The 17,312-nt window shown below is 45.9% G+C and overlaps 2 long non-coding RNA genes across 2 annotated transcripts, besides 2 other annotated features; both read left to right on the top strand.

Moving 5' to 3' along the window:
* The first annotated feature begins 2,227 nt into the window (after positions 1-2,227).
* Positions 2,228-6,456, top strand: LOC105376390 (uncharacterized). The gene is made up of 3 exons (NR_188188.1): positions 2,228-2,340; positions 2,936-3,134; positions 5,185-6,456. It is a non-coding gene; the product is annotated as an uncharacterized LOC105376390 (long non-coding RNA).
* Positions 7,199-8,398: an enhancer, noted in NCBI's record as "CDK7 strongly-dependent group 2 enhancer chr10:7580314-7581513 (GRCh37/hg19 assembly coordinates)". NCBI's record gives its function as "activates an origin of replication core promoter dependent on BRD2, BRD4, P300/CBP, MED14 and CDK7 cofactors, with strong dependence on CDK7, by STARR-seq in HCT116 cells {active_cell/tissue: HCT116}" and the evidence as "EXISTENCE:reporter gene assay evidence [ECO:0000049][PMID:35650434]".
* Positions 10,246-17,068, top strand: LOC105376391 (uncharacterized). The gene is made up of 2 exons (XR_930632.2): positions 10,246-10,483; positions 15,924-17,068. It is a non-coding gene; the product is annotated as an uncharacterized LOC105376391 (long non-coding RNA).
* Positions 10,336-11,195: an enhancer, noted in NCBI's record as "H3K27ac-H3K4me1 hESC enhancer chr10:7583451-7584310 (GRCh37/hg19 assembly coordinates)". NCBI's record gives its function as "activates a minimal SCP1, AML or CMV promoter by ChIP-STARR-seq in primed H9 embryonic stem cells {active_cell/tissue: H9 hESC(primed)}" and the evidence as "EXISTENCE:reporter gene assay evidence [ECO:0000049][PMID:30033119]".
* Positions 17,069-17,312: the final 244 nt, after the last annotated feature.

Consider the following 17,312-nt stretch of genomic DNA (forward strand, 5'->3'; position numbering starts at 1 on the left):
TGCGTTCTAGGGCCAAAAGAAGGAACAGAACCAGATCTGGTTCCTGCTCCTGGAGTTTGTACTTCAGTGAGGGAGAAAGGCATTAATCAAAGGAGCCCAAATGCAGAGCTGACACCCATGACAAGCGCTGTGAAGGAGACTGTGAGTCCTGCGAGAGTGGGGAGGGCAGGGATGACGATGAGCCTGGGATCTGAGGGTGGAGGAGAGGCTGAGTCTGCACAGATCGGAGAGACGCCTTCCCGACCCCCACTGAGAACCAGACGGTGGATGGGAGCAAAAAGGATGAGAAGGAAGAGGAGAGGCATGGTTTGGGGCAAGGTTAGAAAAGAAAGGGGGCAGAAATCAAACGATGGAAGGCCTGGTAGGAATGATTCTGGAAGGAGCAGTGACGTGCTGCTCGGATTTAGAAACGATCCCCCAGCTGCAGTGCAGGACGCGTGGAAGGACGTCTTGCCGGAGGTTGTAGCGCCCAGGGATTTGTGGTATCTGAGTAAGAGCGGAAGCACATGCCTGCCTGGACACCTAAGCGAAGAGCCCCGTGTTGTGGAATCCCCCGTCCTTTCTGAGGGGACAACACCAATCCCAGAGGTCTAGAATTGCCTGGCTGGTCTTCAGAACACGGTTTATGGAATAGACCAATAGCCCCAGGAAGGAACTCACTTCCAGTGTCACACAAGTAAATAATATGGGTTTTGTTCCTTATCTTTCTATGGTAAGAAGCTATGAAAACAGCAGAGTGAGTGAAATGGTAGAAGAAGACAGTCTTGTAGGCTCCTAAAATTCTTATCACTTTGTCGAGTGTTCTCTCCTCAAGGGTACAAACGATGTCTTCATTGCCTGGAAATGATGGCGCCCTTGTTCTTTATCCAAAGACTGATGGGGGAAAGAGTAATTCATTTAATAACATGGGGTCCTCATTACAGACTGGCCACCAATATAAAGCTTCGAATTTTTTTAAAATGCCCACTTTGTTTTAGAGTGGTTCATGGAAGCTTTTCATAGTTTTCACAAATGATGATCAATATAATAAATTTATAAAGCCCATTTCTTTCAAGTAGAATCAGTGATAGAATTATTATACATATTCATTTTAAAATAAACATCTTCTCTCTATCTTCAGAGTCAAATTATTAACTGAGGAACATACTGAAAAGAAGAATAAAATGAGTAAATTAATTTTTCCTCCAGAGATAGTTACTAGTAATACTTTGGTATACGTTCTTCCAATAAGTTTTTCTATTCATATTTACACATTTTTAAAGGTTATCTAAAATATACCATCTGTAACATTTTTTCACTACACTACTGAAAAACTTTTCATGTTAGTATTTCTTACTAAATTTTTTTTATTTTTGTAATTTTTTATTTTGATGTTGTGGATACATAGTAGGTGTATATATTTATGGGGTACATGAGATGTTTCGATCCAGGCATGCAACGTGTAATAATCACATCGTGGAGAATGGGGTCTCCATCCCCTCAAGCATTTATCCATTTTGTTACAAACAATCCAGTTATATCTTTTTAATTATTTTAAAATGTAAAATTAAGTCATTATTAACTCTAGCCACCCAGAAGCCTTGAATTTTTTAAGCTTTGGAGGAGATGAAGCCAGAGAAAGAGAAGCCACGTTTCCCGCCATGGAAACACACTTATGAGTCCTTCGCGATGGGCAAAGCCCACGTTTGAGTAGCAGCTGCTCGTCCCCTTGCCCTTTGCCCAGGTCCCTGATGATGTTTGTCTTGGATGCCACTGTGGGATGCCACTGTACAGTCGGGAGTGAAATTAGCCTCCTGTATGGTGGCATGTGAGGATGATTCCTTACTGGGGAGTGTGGAGAGTATGAGAAGTGACCGAGGAAATCCAGCCTGGGGGATTCAGCCTCCGTATCACAGGAGACGCTGCTGTGCAGTTTCTGTGCGTTCAGAGCTTCCACTTAATTTCTCACAGTGTGGGCCTTCATAGAAGGTTCTTTGTTGGGTCACCTCGGCTCCTGCGCTCAGATGACAATAGGAGCTTCAGGAGCTAAAATGACCGATGTGCTGTGCTGGTCAGGGTTCACTTGCAGACAGCAGAGTCTGCCCCGGCTAGTTACACAGAGGAGGATTGATTACCGGCTTTCAGTGACTCCCAGCATCACTGCGGGGGCGGGGGGTGCTGAAGAAATTGAAGACACTCCAGGCTGCCTCCCAAAGCCACACAGCAGAAAGGGGCCACCAAGAAGCTGAGATTCTGTCGTCACCGGAGAGCCGCCTGCCTGCAGGCCAGCCCTGCATGTGACTGTTGCTGCTGCGTGCACACCCGCTCAGTGCTGCCCTTCATCCCACTTCCCCTCCCCAGGTCAGTTCAGAATTCGAGTCCCAAGCAATTGTTCCTGATGGGGAAATGGCAATTCCATTTTAGGTGACCTGAATTAGGTATTAGGTGCCTTGTATGCCAGTTCTCCAGAGAAACAACACACGCGCATGTGCGTGTGTGTGTGTGTGTGTGTGTGTGAGTGGAGAGAGAGAGAGAGAGAGAGAGATTTATTACAAGGAAGCTGCTCACACAGCAATGGAGGCTTGACAAGTCTAAAATCCGCAGGGTGGGTCTGCGGGCTAGAGACCCAGGAGAGCTAATGGTGGAGCTCCAGTTCAAATGTTGTCTGCTGACAGAATTCTTTCTTGCTTGGAGGAGGTCAGTCTTTTGTTCTATTCAGGCCCTCAACTGATGAGATGAGCCCCTCCCACTTCACAGAGGACAATCTGCTTTACTCAAAGCCCACTGATTGAAATGTTCATTTCATCCCAAAACAAACACCCTTATGGAAAAATCCAGAATAGTATTTGACTAAACATGAGGGCACTGTGGCCCAGCCAAGTTAATGCATAAAATTCACCATCACGTGTGTGCCCTGTTGCATGGGACTCTAACAAATTCCTCCCACCCTCTACAGCACAGGAAGGCGCCCCAGAGAGAGGCTGGAATACACACTGTGTGAGCCAGTCTGCAGACTCTGCCAGATGCCTATGGAGACATCCTTGTGAAATTAGAATAGCTCTTCTCAGTTTATTTATGGAATCTTCTTGAAGATCAAAGATGCAGCACCGCTGTTGGTTTTGGTTTCCCCTATTATAACGGAGTCTGAATGAAAGGTGAGCAATTCTATTTAGGTTCTAGCCTAGATGTGGGGGGAAAGATGTCTATGCTAAGCATGACCATTGAGGTTTACAAAAACAAAAGTAGGGTCGCAAGCTAACAAAGAAAAACTAGAGAAAAGATTCTCCTGGCCATGCCCACAGCTGTTCCCAGAAGCTTCCTGAAACTGGTGATTTTATGTTCCTACCTTTCCTCTTAAGACTCCTGATGTACGTCCATTTCCCTGAGTTAATATAAAGTGACCAACTGCCAAGGTTTTCAGTTTCTCTCAAAATTTCAGCCAAACGCCTTGGAGGGAGGGCCTGAAGTCCTCCCACTAGAATTCAGCAGATCAACTCTCGAAGCTGCTCTCTTGACCACTGAATAGTTTCAGGTTCCTTAGGCAGTAATGAAAATATATAATAATCATTAACGTTTGGAGGGTGCTCTATATTTGGAATTATTTTCATATCTCTTGTGTTCTTTGGTCTTCACAACACGTCTTGGAGTTATTTTTTTCCCCAGATAGAGAAAACAGAAACTTGAGTACTTTTTTTGTTTTGAGACAGGGTCTTGCTGTGTCACCCTGGCTGGACTACAGTGGTATGATCACAGCTCACTACAGCCTCAAACTTCCAGGCTCAAGAGATCCTTCCATCTCAGCCTCCCGAGTGTCTGGGTCTGCAGGAGCACACCACCACACCCAGCTTATTTTTGTATTTTTAGTAGAGATGGGATTTTGCCATGTTGCTCAGGCTGATCTCAAACTCCTGACGCTATGACCCAGGCTGGAGTGCGGTGGCATGATAACAACTCACTGTAGCCTCAACCTCCCAGGCTCAATTGATCCTCCTGCCTCAGCCTCCCGAGCAGCTGGGACTACAGATGCAAAACACCACACCCGGCTAATTTTTAAATTTTTTATGGAGACAGAGTCCCACTATGTTGCCCAGGCTGGTCTCGAAATCCTGGGCTCAAGCTATTTGCCTGCCTCTGCCTCCCAAAGTGCTGGGATTACAGGTGTACATCACTGTGCCTGGACTCAGGTACATTAAGTGACTTTCTCTATGTAGTCCAGTGGTTAGTACCAGAGGCAGAAGCCCACTTCCCTCACTCAACTCCAGTCTGATTTCCTCGTCCTGCAGCTCCCATATCCAAAGTTTTGTCCTAGCATCGGTTGCTTAACTCTGGGCTGTGGGATTATCAATAAGACACCAGCCCGTAGGTGATTCTCAGCCTCGGTTCATGGCACCCACTTTGAGGTAGCTCAGATGGGTTGTGCCATTTGTCAAAAGTTCATTTTAACTTGCTGTCATTGAAAATATATTTGGGGTCTATTAGTGCTTCTGTTTTAATATTTTTCTAACCATCCCGCAAGGGGGCAACAAGAGTTCTCAGAGCGGCCGAAAACTCTAGCACAGCTTTTCTTGGGATCATTGTTAGACATTCTTTATTTATAACCAGACCACAAAACTTAGCACAAGTTCAAGAAAATTTGCTATAGCTCACTTGGTAAAAATTCTGTGTTAAATGGCTGGGCATGGTGGCTCATGCCTGTAATGCCAGCACTTTGGGAGGCTGAGGTGGGCGGATCACCTGAGGTCAGGAGATCGAGACCAGCCTGGCCAATGTGGTGAAACCCCTACTAAACTGTCTGTACTAAAAATACAAAAAATTAGCCGGGCGTGGTGGCAGGCACCTGTAATCCCAGCTATATGGGAGGCTGAGGCAGAAGAATTGCTTCAACCTGGGAGGTAGAGGTTGCAGTGAGCCGAGATTGCACCACTGCACTCCAGCCTGGGCAACAGAGAGAGACTCAGTCAAAAAAAACAAAAACAAAAACAAAAACAAAAAAAATTGTGTTAACTTATTAGTTTGAGCAGTTTGCTTAATAGAGGTCTATGCTAAATAGAAGGTTTATTCTCTCACCCTCTTTTTCTTGTCTCTGTCCTGTTTGAGTTTGTGCTGGTATTTTCTGCTATTTTAAAATAATTTGGTCCTTTAAATGTCTATCAGCTTCTCCCTACTTCCTAACATGCCTCACACATAGGCCTCATGGTTTTCCAGGTGGAACAACCCTAAGATCATAATGCTGTTGATTTAATGTTGGAAGCTCCTCCAAGGAAGGGACCATGCCATGCATTTATTTACATTTTACACAAAGGCTGTCAAATGGGGCCATCCTAGTGCCTGCGTGATAGGGCAGCTGTCCTTGAAATGAAGTGATCACTCAAGCCCTTGTTGAATGTGCACAAGAATGAATGAATCAATCAATAAATGAACCAATGATGCTCCAACAGGTGAGATGCAACAGGAGGATCATGAGCTCTTGAGCCTAGGCCCATTTCTGCTAAAGGATTTCTCATCCCTGAAAGCAATGCCCATCCCTCAAAGCCTTGCCTTTCCCTTTGAGAATGATCACACATCTTGTTTCCTATCTCAATACCTCACTCAAATTCCTTGGAGATCCTGGCACAGCAGATAGTCAGTAGCCTACGGTGTGAATCGCCTCTGGAACTTTAAAAACTTGAAACCTGGAGAATCTGATTCAGCAGGTCTGGAGCAGGGTAGTGGGTCTGTGGGTTTCATGATGAACCTGATGCCCACCAAACAATGAGAGCCGCGGTCCTAAGGTAGAGGACCAAAGAGTTCACTCTGTTGCAATTTTTGAGTGCTTGAAAGTAGTTTTGTTTTTGTTTTTCTTTGTGAGAAACTTTGCACTAAGACAGAAAGATGAGTCTGTTTTTAATATCATCCCTACGAAGGGAGCACCTCCACCATAATTACCCTGACGAGATCTTTCAGAGAGCATTTCCAACTCTATCATCTGGTTGGGGCTCGGCTAAATCGTGATTGCGTCCCTGAAATACACTGATGCCTACTTACCCTGCGTCACATTGGTTTTACTGCATATTAAAGTGGACTTCTAGAAAGTTACAAAAGACCTGAAGAATCCTAGTGATTCCTCTCTGATCCAATGCAACAGTCACTCACATCCACTGAGGTCCTCCTGGAAGCCAGGCCTGGTGTTTTCACGTGGTATTTTCTCATTCAAGCTTCACAGCAATCCAATGGGGTGAGGTTGTCTTATCTCCATCTTAAAGATGAAGGAAGCCAGGCTCTCCCAGGCTACATAATTTGGCCAGGGCTAAGGCTCCAGGGCTCAGGGCCACCTGGGGCTCTAACTCCAAAGTCCTTAACCATGGTGCCACCCTATTTCCTATTTGTAGCTCCATTTGAAAAGTGTTAATTGAAGCTTCCTTGAACTTTCCTTTGGAGTTTGTTGCCTTTTTTGTAGTTGTTAAATCAAGAGGGTCAAATAGCAAAACAAGAAGAAAATTTATAGAGCTCTAGGGAGTGGATAACGGGAAACTGCAGGCCCAGCAGTGAATTCCATGCTGGGAAACCTTGGATGGAAGGGGATTCTGGTACCTCCTGTTATTTTAGGTGGGGACTGAGTATGAGTTAATTTCCAGCTGCCCACACAGACCTTATCAATCAGGATGGCTCCATGACACTTGCCAACACCATGCTGACATTTGACCTTGCTGCCATTTTATGCTCACCTTACTTAAATGACAAGGGATAATGAATGTTTGCAACTGGTCAGGCATCAGCACGTCAGAACGTGGAAGATCACAGAGACTTGCAACTAGAAGAATTTTTTGTTTGTTTGCTTTTAAATGAAGCTAGGTGACTCTGCCTCCAAAGTCTTAGGAACTGCCTTGCTGGAGAGGCCACTACAGTAACGTAGACAAAGCTCTAAGCCACTACTCATCACTGAGCTACAGGAACAAGAAGAAAAGTTTAGATAAAGAGAAGTAAAGCATTCTCCTAATGCAGCCTAAGTAGAAAATTGAACCCGAAAAACAAGTTTATCAGCATCATTGAAACAAAAAGCAATATACATTCAATCATAGTGTCACTTTAACATGGCTGAATTTTCAGATACTCTGATTTCCTGTTGGAGTTTTAGTACAACTAAGTAAGGGGTAGATATGGAATCTGTTCCATTTATCAAGTACTGTGTAACAAACTATCCCCAAACATAGCGGCGAAAAACAACAAAAACACTTATTTTGCTCTTGAATCTGCAATTCAGGCAGGGCTTGACAAGGAAAGCTTGTCTCTGCTCTGCTCACTGTCAGCCGGGACAGTTCAAAGGCAGGGGGCTAAAATTATCTGAAGCTCAGTCATTCACATGCCCAGGGATTCACACTGACTTTTGGCTAGGACCTGAGCTAGGCTTGTCTGCCGGACAGCTACGCGTGGCCTCACGATGTGACCTCACAACATGGAAGCACCATGTGCTTCCTCACAACATGGCGGCTGGATTTCAATGATGAGTGTCCTAAGAGAGAGAGGACAGCAGCTGTATCACTGTTTGTGACCTGTCTCAAGAGCCATGTAGCCTCACTTCCATTGCCATCTATTCATCGAGATGACCACAAAGGCCCACCTGAATTCAATGGAATGGCAAAATAGATCCTACCTCTTGCTGGGCATAGTGGCAAGGTACAGAAGAGCATGTGGGACTAGAAATAGTGCAGTGTCCCTTTTTGGAAAATACAATTGGCCTCAGAATCCACGGTGCAGGATTGCCCCAGAAAGCCATATGAATTATTCTTTATGGAAGTTGGACACTCTAAAGAGCAGATGACCTTTGCCACCATGATATGATGTCCCACCCCTCTCTAATGCCAACCTTCCATCTGTCCCAGGAAGGGCTGTCTTCTCACAGTAGGTGTTGGGTATTTCTGCCTCCCCTTTTGGCTTCTGCCCAACCATACCCTCACCCCATGCCTCCTCTAGCTGCTCTAGTTCACAATATTCTCTCTCTTCTCTGAACTTTTACTTCCTGTAGCACCGACAGAGCCTTGATATACTTCCTCCTCTCATGAGTTAATTTCCTTGTGTGCCTGTTTGCCTCAAAACCAGATAATAGGCCCTTGGCCCCTCTCCCTGTGTCATGCACAGAGTGGGCATTCAGTGAATGGTTCTTGATTTGATTATACATTCATGACGTCACCGTAAAGTTAGTCTCCCTGGGCTACATATCAACATGGAAGAAAACTGCAGCCCCCTGACCTATTAGAAGGATGTGACATCTCACGGGAGTGCTCAGTTGCCCTTCAAAGACAGGAAAATAAATGTCAGATTTGGTTTTGTTTATCTGATCTTCATGCAATCACGGTTTCGTACCTCTGGGGGTGGAAAGAATTGGACTGTTTCATAATTGTTTAGAGGTAAGCATAAAATGCACTAAGGCATTGAACTCTGGGTGTGGTGAGAAAGAGAGAAGATGGGAAGGGTGAGAATTCATGGAATCTGGTTGGGTGCTCCTCATTTAGTGCCTTTGTGTGGGAGAAGAGCAGATAGATGGTGGGAGGGTGAAAGGAAGGGCTACTTCAAGTTGCTCCAAAAACTGGGAGTGGGTGGGAATTAAGTCTCTATCAGGTCAAGTTAATACTGGTTAGAATTAGCAAAGTGACTGAGAGTGAGCCTTGGGGTTTATTTTTTGGAAGGAGTCTAAAAGTCCTTCCCACAAAGCACTCCAGCTCCATCTAATGCAATGCCTCTGATTTGTCATAGGCAATTTCTATGAACTTACGCTGTTTTCCCAGTGGACTGGAGTTTATGTATCTCTCTTAATCTGCACAGCCCAGTGGGGAGAGAATCTGTGTTTGTTCCCCTCCCATCTCCTTGCTTACAATTCCTGCTCCCAGCTGGCTTCAGGAACACCCTTGGCAGAGGGGGTAGTGGACCCTCCCTCCATCCCCAAAAACTTAAAGAATGTGCCTTGATTAGAAGCACAAAGCAGATCTCAAGATGTGCTCAGCAGCTGTGGACACCCTGGAGATAAAAAGGAGAGGGGGCCGGTGCCTGTAATGCCAGCACTTTGGGAGGCCGAGGCAGGAAGATCACTTGAGGTCAGGAGTTCGAGACCAGCCTGGCCAACATGGCGAAACCCCATCTCTGCTAAAAATACAAAAAATTAGCCAGGCGTGGTAGTGAGCACCTATAATCCCAGCTACTTGGGAGGCTGAGGCATGAGAATCGCTTGTACCTGGGAGGAAGAGGTTGCAGTGAGCTGAGATTGCACTACTGCTCTCCAGCCTGGGTGACAGAGTGAGACTCTGTCTCAAAAAAAAAAAAAAAAAAAAAAGAGAGAGAGATAGAGAATGTAGAGGAATGGAACCATTATATTACATATCCAAAAAGGGAACAATCCACTTTTTGGTTTAGAACATGACATGTTGTCTTCATGCCAAGCCATCCTTTCCAAATTGTGTTCTATTAATTTAATCTTATGATTACTTTGTATTGATTGTCTAAAGCCCTCACCAATTTGCGACAGTAAAATGCACCCTGGAAGGATGTTAGGTTTAGGAGAGATGCAAGTTGATACCACCGGCCACTGGCCACCAGGTCTCCATTCACAGATAACAGACTTTTGTTTCCATTATCAGTTGACAAATAACAGCTATGTGATTGACTGGGTGAAAAATAAATTTACTGTAGCGTGTTAGTTGCACCATTTCACTCCCTTTATATTTTTAAAGCAAAGATTAAAGTTCAAAAAGAAGCCTCATTTGGTGTTTTTCACGTCTGATGGTAAACTACCTGAGGACAGAGACAGTTGGTTTCCTGGGAGAAAACCCCATGGCTTATCACCAAACAGCGTGCAAACAGTAGGTGCATGGGTGGGGAGGCCTCAATAGTGTCACATACAAAGAAAGGAGTGAAAGCCTGACATAAATTCTCTTCCTTATCCAAAAAGCAAAGCTATCCTATGCAGAGGAAAATGGAGCTGAAACAAGTATGTCTCTTTCCTTCTTTGTATCCCACGACTGTAACCACAGGTATGGCTCTTAGGACCTGTGGAGTCATTCACTGTCCAAAGGCCACGTAGGCTCATTCCTTGTTAGAATAAGGTTGCCTGTGCAGACGGCTGGTCCTGTGTGCAGGCATCTGGGCTCACGTCTCCCAGGAGGGGAGGATGGGGCTGCCGTTGCTGTTGCCATGGCCCCGTGCAGTGTTTCCATAACACAGCCGGCCCACATCCCAAGCAGGCCTGCTTGGACAGTTTGCCCTGCATGATGCGAGACAGGCTGGAGAGGGATCAAGGACCCTTTGGGATTGGAATTCTGGGTTTTGCGTGTGAGAGTTTAACTGGCTAAGACCAGGCCAGTACATGAGCGCAGGCCCAAGATCCGAAAGGGAAAGTCCTGAACGCCCCCTTCCCCCTGTCTTTTCGGCGGGGCTTTGGGAGTTTGCAGGGTGTTCTGAGTGTTTGGGCCTCAGGGATTCTCACCTCCGGGAGATTCCAGGAGCTGTAGGGGGTGGAATGCGAGTAGGAGGAGAGGTGAGTAATGACTGGTGGACCCGCATGGGCTAACTCTTACGGTTCAAGGGTTCAGGAAGAGATTTGCAAACGTCTCTACTCTACTTTGTCTACAAAAGAACACCAAGGAATTCAGAAACTTAATTTGAAGTGGAGTTTTTGGGGATTTTTTACTTCTTGGCAGTGGTAGGCTACCCACCATCTGGGACCTGTATGTGTCATTGAAAAGAAGGTCCCCTCTGGCATGAGTGGAGTGCGGTAGGCGTGGCCTGGAATCCCTGGGTGGCCTGACAGCCCATTTTAATCAGCAATTCTACTGGAGTTCCAGTGACCCAGGGAACAAAGTTCACCACTGCTCCTTACTCAGAACTGGTGATAACGTTGACAGGGCTGATGGGAATCCTCCTGCTGGCTGCAAACTCCACCTGCAGCAGAGACGGGGCTTCTAGGGAGACAGGGTCAGTGTGAGTGAGTGCTGCTGGGTTTGCCAGGCTGCTGGAGTGGGTGTACTACTCCTCAGTGTGCAGGGGGCATCCTCTGCCCCAAACCGACCCCATCTCATCTTCCCTTGCTGATTCCTCCTGGCTGCTTCCATGATCCGTCCTACTTCCCAAAACAGAGAGGATATCTAAATATCATTTTTCAACTTCCCCAGCTGGTAAATGATGAAATTATTATATACTTGCCTTTCTTATCTTTCTACCAAACAGTAGGTTCCTTGAAGACAGACGTCATTATCATTCCTGCTTATGTTCATGTCCCCTAATTAACAGGCTTTGTGCTTACCTAACAAGTATGTGGCACGTATCTGTTTAAATAGCATAAAACAAATATCTCAGTGTTTGCAGTAGTGGACATATACCAGTAAAGTGTCAAGGGTGCCATTTCAGAATCCCTTAATCTTCCAGCAACTTTTTGGTGACCACAAAGATGGTGTTTTGCCTGTGATGCCCCACTCTCCTAATATACTATATGGAATAATGACTTTCTATATCCGTAATCAATATTTACTTTGAATATCAGTAGGTTGAGTTAGTAGTTTGATTCTGGTCCCTTGTTTACTCTGATGCAATCCCCTGTAAGAAGGACCTGACAAAGTGCCTGGTGAATGGGGTTCAGTACATGCCAGTACCTTTTCTTTCCCTGCTAATGCGAACTTAGCAATAAGCACTCACAGAAGTGAGAGTCTAGAGCCTTGGTTATTGGCTGTGACTCTGCCATCACGCTTAGGTGATCATTAAGACATCATTTGGTAGTATCTTTCCTCTGGCAAGGGGAAGAGATGGCTGTTTTTGCATAGGGATAAGATATTATCTTTAAAGCACTTTGTGATCCCAGAAGAAAAGTGTACTCTAAGACCCTGGAGCACTACCCCATTTCTCTACTGTTATTAACAAAATAAATGTGTGTCTGGCACAAGGACTTACACTTAGCAGATAACTCCCAAACTATCAGTGTAGTGGTGCATTATTTTTTGGCCACTTGGTCTTTTTGGGCAAATGCCTAACTGTGGAGACTCCCCCCACTTTACCAGTCCTGCCTCCACGTGGGAGCTTTGGCGGGGTTTATTTCTTGGGGCCAAGTCTCAACAAGTTGAATAGGAAAGCTTGGCAGCCCTAAGCTTCTTCTTCATCTTCCCTGGGGCACGCTCCTATGAGCATGTTAGGAAAGAGATTTTTAGGACAGCATTTCAGTCTCGGTTCTTTGGTCTTTTTAGTTAAAGGTCCACGGCCCTGATTTTCAGACGGACATAGTTGTACCAGCTAGAGCTCATAGAGAAGAGAGATTTAGACATTTGCTACTCCAAGCACAGTCCACAGGCATCTGTGTGGGCCTCCCTTGGGGGAGTGTTGGAAATAGAGGATCTGAGACTCATGCCCCTCCCCCAACACCGGAATTGACCTGGCACCACATTCTCCAGGTGACTCACGAGCACTTGCACCTTTGAGAAGACTGATGGAGACAAATGCCCGGGAAGCCGTCTGCAGACCCTGGAAAGGGGGTGTGCACTTGACCCAATCAGAGGCAGTCGTTTGGCTCAGCATCACAGAAAACAGATGTATTAGTCCATTTTCACATTGCTGATAAAGACATGCCCAAGACGGGGAAGAAAAAGAGGTTTCATTGGACTTACAGTTCCACATAGCTGGGAAGGACTCAGAATCATGGTGGGAGGCGAAAGATATTTCATACATGGTGGCGGCAAGAGAAAATGAGGAAAATGCAAAAGTGGAAACCCCTGATAAACCCATCAGATCTCGTGAGACTTATCTGCCACCACAAGAACAGTATGGGTGAAACCACCCCCGTGATTCAAGTCATCTCCCACCAGGTCCCTCCCACAACATGTGGGAATTACGGGAGTACAATTCAAGATGAGATTAGGGTGGGGACACGAAGCCAGACCATATCAATGGAAAATTCCAGAAGGATATGGAAATAGGGTGTAGTTCCAATGCAAGTTTCACCATAGAAGCTACTAGGCTTCTTCAGCTGCAGATCTGGGGCAGATCAACCATCTAATTAGGCCCTGCCAAGAGGGTGCCTGGGAAGGAAGGCCGTGGCAGGCAGGAGGAAGAGGAAAGAGAGGGTGCAAATTATCTTCCTATAAATTTTCAAGTAACCTATATGCATTATAAGATTTCCAGGCACTACGTAAGAGCATAAAGTAAGCACCGGACATGAGAGTTGCCTTCCTCCGAGATTGTACTCATCATATGGAATTGATTAAGAGCACAGACTGCCATTGTTTGAACCCAGCTGTAGCACTCCCCAGCTGTGTGATCTCAGGCAAATTATGTAACTTCTCCCTGCCTCCATTTCCTCAGCTGAAGATAATAGCAGGGTTGTTGTGAGGGTTCAGCTTTGACGTGTGTAAAGCACTTTCACACCATGGCAGCCCGTCAGTCTTATGAGTTGGCTGTTCTCATTCTAATACTTTCATGATTTTCCACGTTTAAAACTTGGATCCATTTGGCATTTCAGTGTAAGGAGCAGGGTAAAGAATTACGGATGTGTCCCCCTCCTCCAGTGGTTAAATGGTTATCCAGTAATCCCAACATCATTTATCAACTAATCTCTCTTTCCACCTGTCTTATGGGTTGAATTGTGTCACCTAAAAATATGTGTTAATGTCCTTACCTCCAGTAACTCACAATGTGACCTTATTTTTATTTTATTTTTATTTTTATTTTTTTTGAGACACAGTCTCACTCTGTCATCCAGGCTGGAGTACAGTGGCATGTTCTTGGGTCACTGCAACCTCCCCCTCCTGGGTTCAAGAGATTCTCATGCCTCAGCCTCCCCAGTAGCTGGGACTACAGGCATGTACCACCACGCCCAGCTAATTTTTTAATATTTTTAGTAGAGATGGGGTTTCACCATGTTACCCAGGCTGGTCTTGAACTCCTGGCCTCAAGTGATCCACCTATCTCAGCCTCCCAACATGCTGGGATTATAGGCGTAAGCCACGGCACCCAGCTGGGAATGTGACCTTATTTAGAAATAGGGTGGTTAAAAATGTAATTAGTTGGCCGGGTGCGGTGGCTCACGCCTGTAATCCCAGCTACTCAAGAGGCTGAGGCAGGAGAATCGCTTGAACCCGGGCGGCAGAGGTTGCAGTGAACTGAGATTGTACCACTGCACTCCAGCCTGGGTGACAGAGTGAGACTTCATCTAAAAAAAAAAAAAAAGTAATTAGTTAACATGAGGTCATAATGGAGTAGGGTGGGCCCCTAATCCAAGATGACTGATGTCTTTTAAGAAAAAGAAAAAAACACAGGGAAAATAGCCAGGTTAAAAGAAAGGCAGAGACTGGAGCAATGTGGCCACAAGCCAGGGAATGCATGGGGCAACCAGGAGCTGGAGGAGGCAGGAAGGATCCTCTCTAGAGGCCTCGGAGAAAGCACAACCTTGCCAACACCTCGATTGCAGACTTCCGGCCTCCAGACTGTGAGATGATCAATTTCTGCTCTTTTCAGCCTCTGCGTTTGTGGTACTTTGTTTTGGCAGCCCTGGGAAGCTAATGTAACATAGGATGGATATGTTTTTTCTTGTTTGGGTCTGGTTGACTATTCCTCTGTTTTAATGATCTGTTTTAATGATCAATAAGTCCAGTTCAAATGTAGGAGACATTGAACCTTCCCATTATTCCCAATAGAAAATTTTTGAGATAAAATTAGACACTTTGATACCAAAAGTGCCAAATCAGGAACTGTGACTGGCCACTGTAAAAACTCATATTTTCCTGAAAGTCTGTGTCCATGAGGACCCTGGCAGCTCCACTTCCCACTCCACGGCCTCAGACACTGAGATGCTTTCCACCATGACACTCAGAGAAGGATGTAACGTCTCAGCTGCCACAGCTCTCATGAATTGTAGAGGTTTATAAAACTTAGTGGGATGCAGCTGCACTTATTAATAAGCGCTATCCATGGCTAGAACCAAAGACTGTGTTAGTGGAAGATGAAGTCTTCATTCCTTGGCTTATGACAACGTTAACTGTTTTTTAAGGACCACTGGTGGAAGTGGTGAAAGAAAGCACCAATGCCAGGTTCTATTTTACTTGAGTAAAGAAAATCAGATTAAAATAATGAGTGACAATCCAGGACCTCGGACGCTTCCTGGGGGGGCTGTCCACAGGGCCTCACTGTGAGGCCTCCTCAGTGGCATAAATAGGGCTGCATTTCATAGCAGCCAAGTGTCAGGAAATATGCTTTTAATTATCATTTAAGATGTAACCTGTCAGAGGTATTAGTATCACTTGTGTTTAATGAGAATTGATTTTCAGATTGCATTACCCAGGAAGCCCAGGATAATGGAAACCCCCAGTTCTTTCCTGAGACCTCAAGTCACCACCACATCGCTCTGTGCCAGTGCTCACCACATCAGCAGCCACCGGACATCTGATCTGCCCACATGCAGCCCAGGCAGAGGCCTGCTTAGCCTTAGAGTGATTGCTGATGAATGAGATTCCACAGAGCTGAGCCTGGCTCAGAGTTTTATTGCAAAGTGAGGGAATCCGAGGGAAAGCTAATGAGGGGTTGAGGTTTTCAGTGTGGCCCACAGACTGGCCTCATCAGTGCAAGGATGCGGTGTAGAAACGATGTGTTGATGGGGAGAGCATCCGTTTGAGCCATGCCCACCTCTGGCTTGGTCTTCTGCTGGTGTCCTGACCTTTCTGAAATAGTCAGGCAAGTCCTGGAGAGGGAGGCCAGCGTGGGAGAGCAGCGGGTGGCGTCGGGAAGGGAAAGATCTTGCCCAAGTGTTTCCCAGTCTGAAGTCATCCCTCTACCACCCTTGAGGTTTTATTGCCATAAACTTATACTACCCTGACAATGATTGACAATATTTTCCTCGAAGTGGATTTAGTAAACTTTGTAAGTTTGTTATGCAAAAAAGACTTAAATCATTACTGTAAGCCTGTTGGTCTCACTGGTTTGTAAAACGAAACGTTTCTCAGTTGCAGATGGATATCGTGGCCTGCTGATGGTTTTGGAGCCCAGGTCCAGACATTTCTTGATTGAAGTAGACATTCAAGAAGTGTGAAATGCACAGTCAGAAAATCTGGGACTTCTCTTTTTCCTTGTCAGAATCAGGATTGAAAAATGATTCAGCGGGGAATAGCTTCTTTACAGTGAGAGCCCGTGTTATTGATTTTTGTGTCTGTATACAACCTAAAAGAATGGAGGCGTGTGTCCCTCTCTTTCGGAAATAATGATATCATCCATGTGTAATTAATTATGTGGGGCCCATGTTGGAAGACTGTGTAGCCAGCTCTTGGCTGTCGAAGCACTGACTACATGGATTTAACCTGCCATTGACAGTGGCGCCATTTTTCTGGTCCTCCAGAGGAACATAAACCTGTCCATTTTACTCATCTTGAAGGAGTTTTGGCAAAACATGTATTAGGGCAGAAAATGAAACCTCACTAGAGCTCCCTTTGCACTGGAAGGCTGGAGGAATTTCGTGGACTTGGAGGCTCTGCCCTGTGCTCCACGGCCACAAGCCCTTAAGTGTTGTCTCCACAGCATTTGCATTTGCTGTCCTCAAAGCCCCGCTCCTCCCTCTCCCGTCGCTGTCCTCAAAGCCCCGCTCCTCCCTCTCCCGTCGCTGTCCTCAAAGACCCACTCCTCCCTCTCCCATACACGATTTTGAGCTATATCCTTAATATCCAGGTTCCTTTGTGTTTCCTGGTAATGGGTAGAAGTGCAAGGGGATTTCAGCTCCCAAGAGACAGGGTTTCCCCGTGCCTAAGACCCCAGGGTTGATGCTACTCTGTCATCAAGTGGTGACTGTGACTCTTCCCCCCGCAACCTCAGGAGGTTTTTTTGGACTTCATCCCAGATCCTGAGCTGGAGCTGGTCCTGGGATGCAGAGCGTGCCTGTCCTAGTGAACTGAAGTGTCTCCAAAAGGGTTCCTGAAAACAGAACAAAGTTGCCCAGCCAGGCACGCAGGCCAGGGCAGGAAACTGGCCTTGGGGCCACCTCCGCTCAGGATGGGGTGGAGGCAAACAGACTTGTGCGTCATCCTTCACAAAGAAGGTTCTCTCAGATATTTGGATTTCCTTGAGGAGCCCTCAAAGCAATAAAATAATATGTCCTTCAGACTGAGAACACTGACCGTGTCTGCAAGGCAGAGTGGGGCGCCGCATGAGGTCTGCATCTCAGAGGCTCCAGGCAGGAGTCTGGCTCTACTTGTTTTTCAGAGTATTCTCTGGGAGGCACACACCTTTCCCATTTTCTGGTGTGCCCAGCAATAGGACGTCGTGTTATCTTTCCTGAGGGTCGGACAGACGTTCGCTTGTGAGGGTAGGATCCTGCTCCCTTCATAGTAAGCAGAAAATCCAGT

This window comes from Homo sapiens, chromosome 10, assembly GCF_000001405.40.
Source record: "Homo sapiens chromosome 10, GRCh38.p14 Primary Assembly".
NCBI lineage: Eukaryota > Metazoa > Chordata > Mammalia > Primates > Hominidae > Homo > Homo sapiens.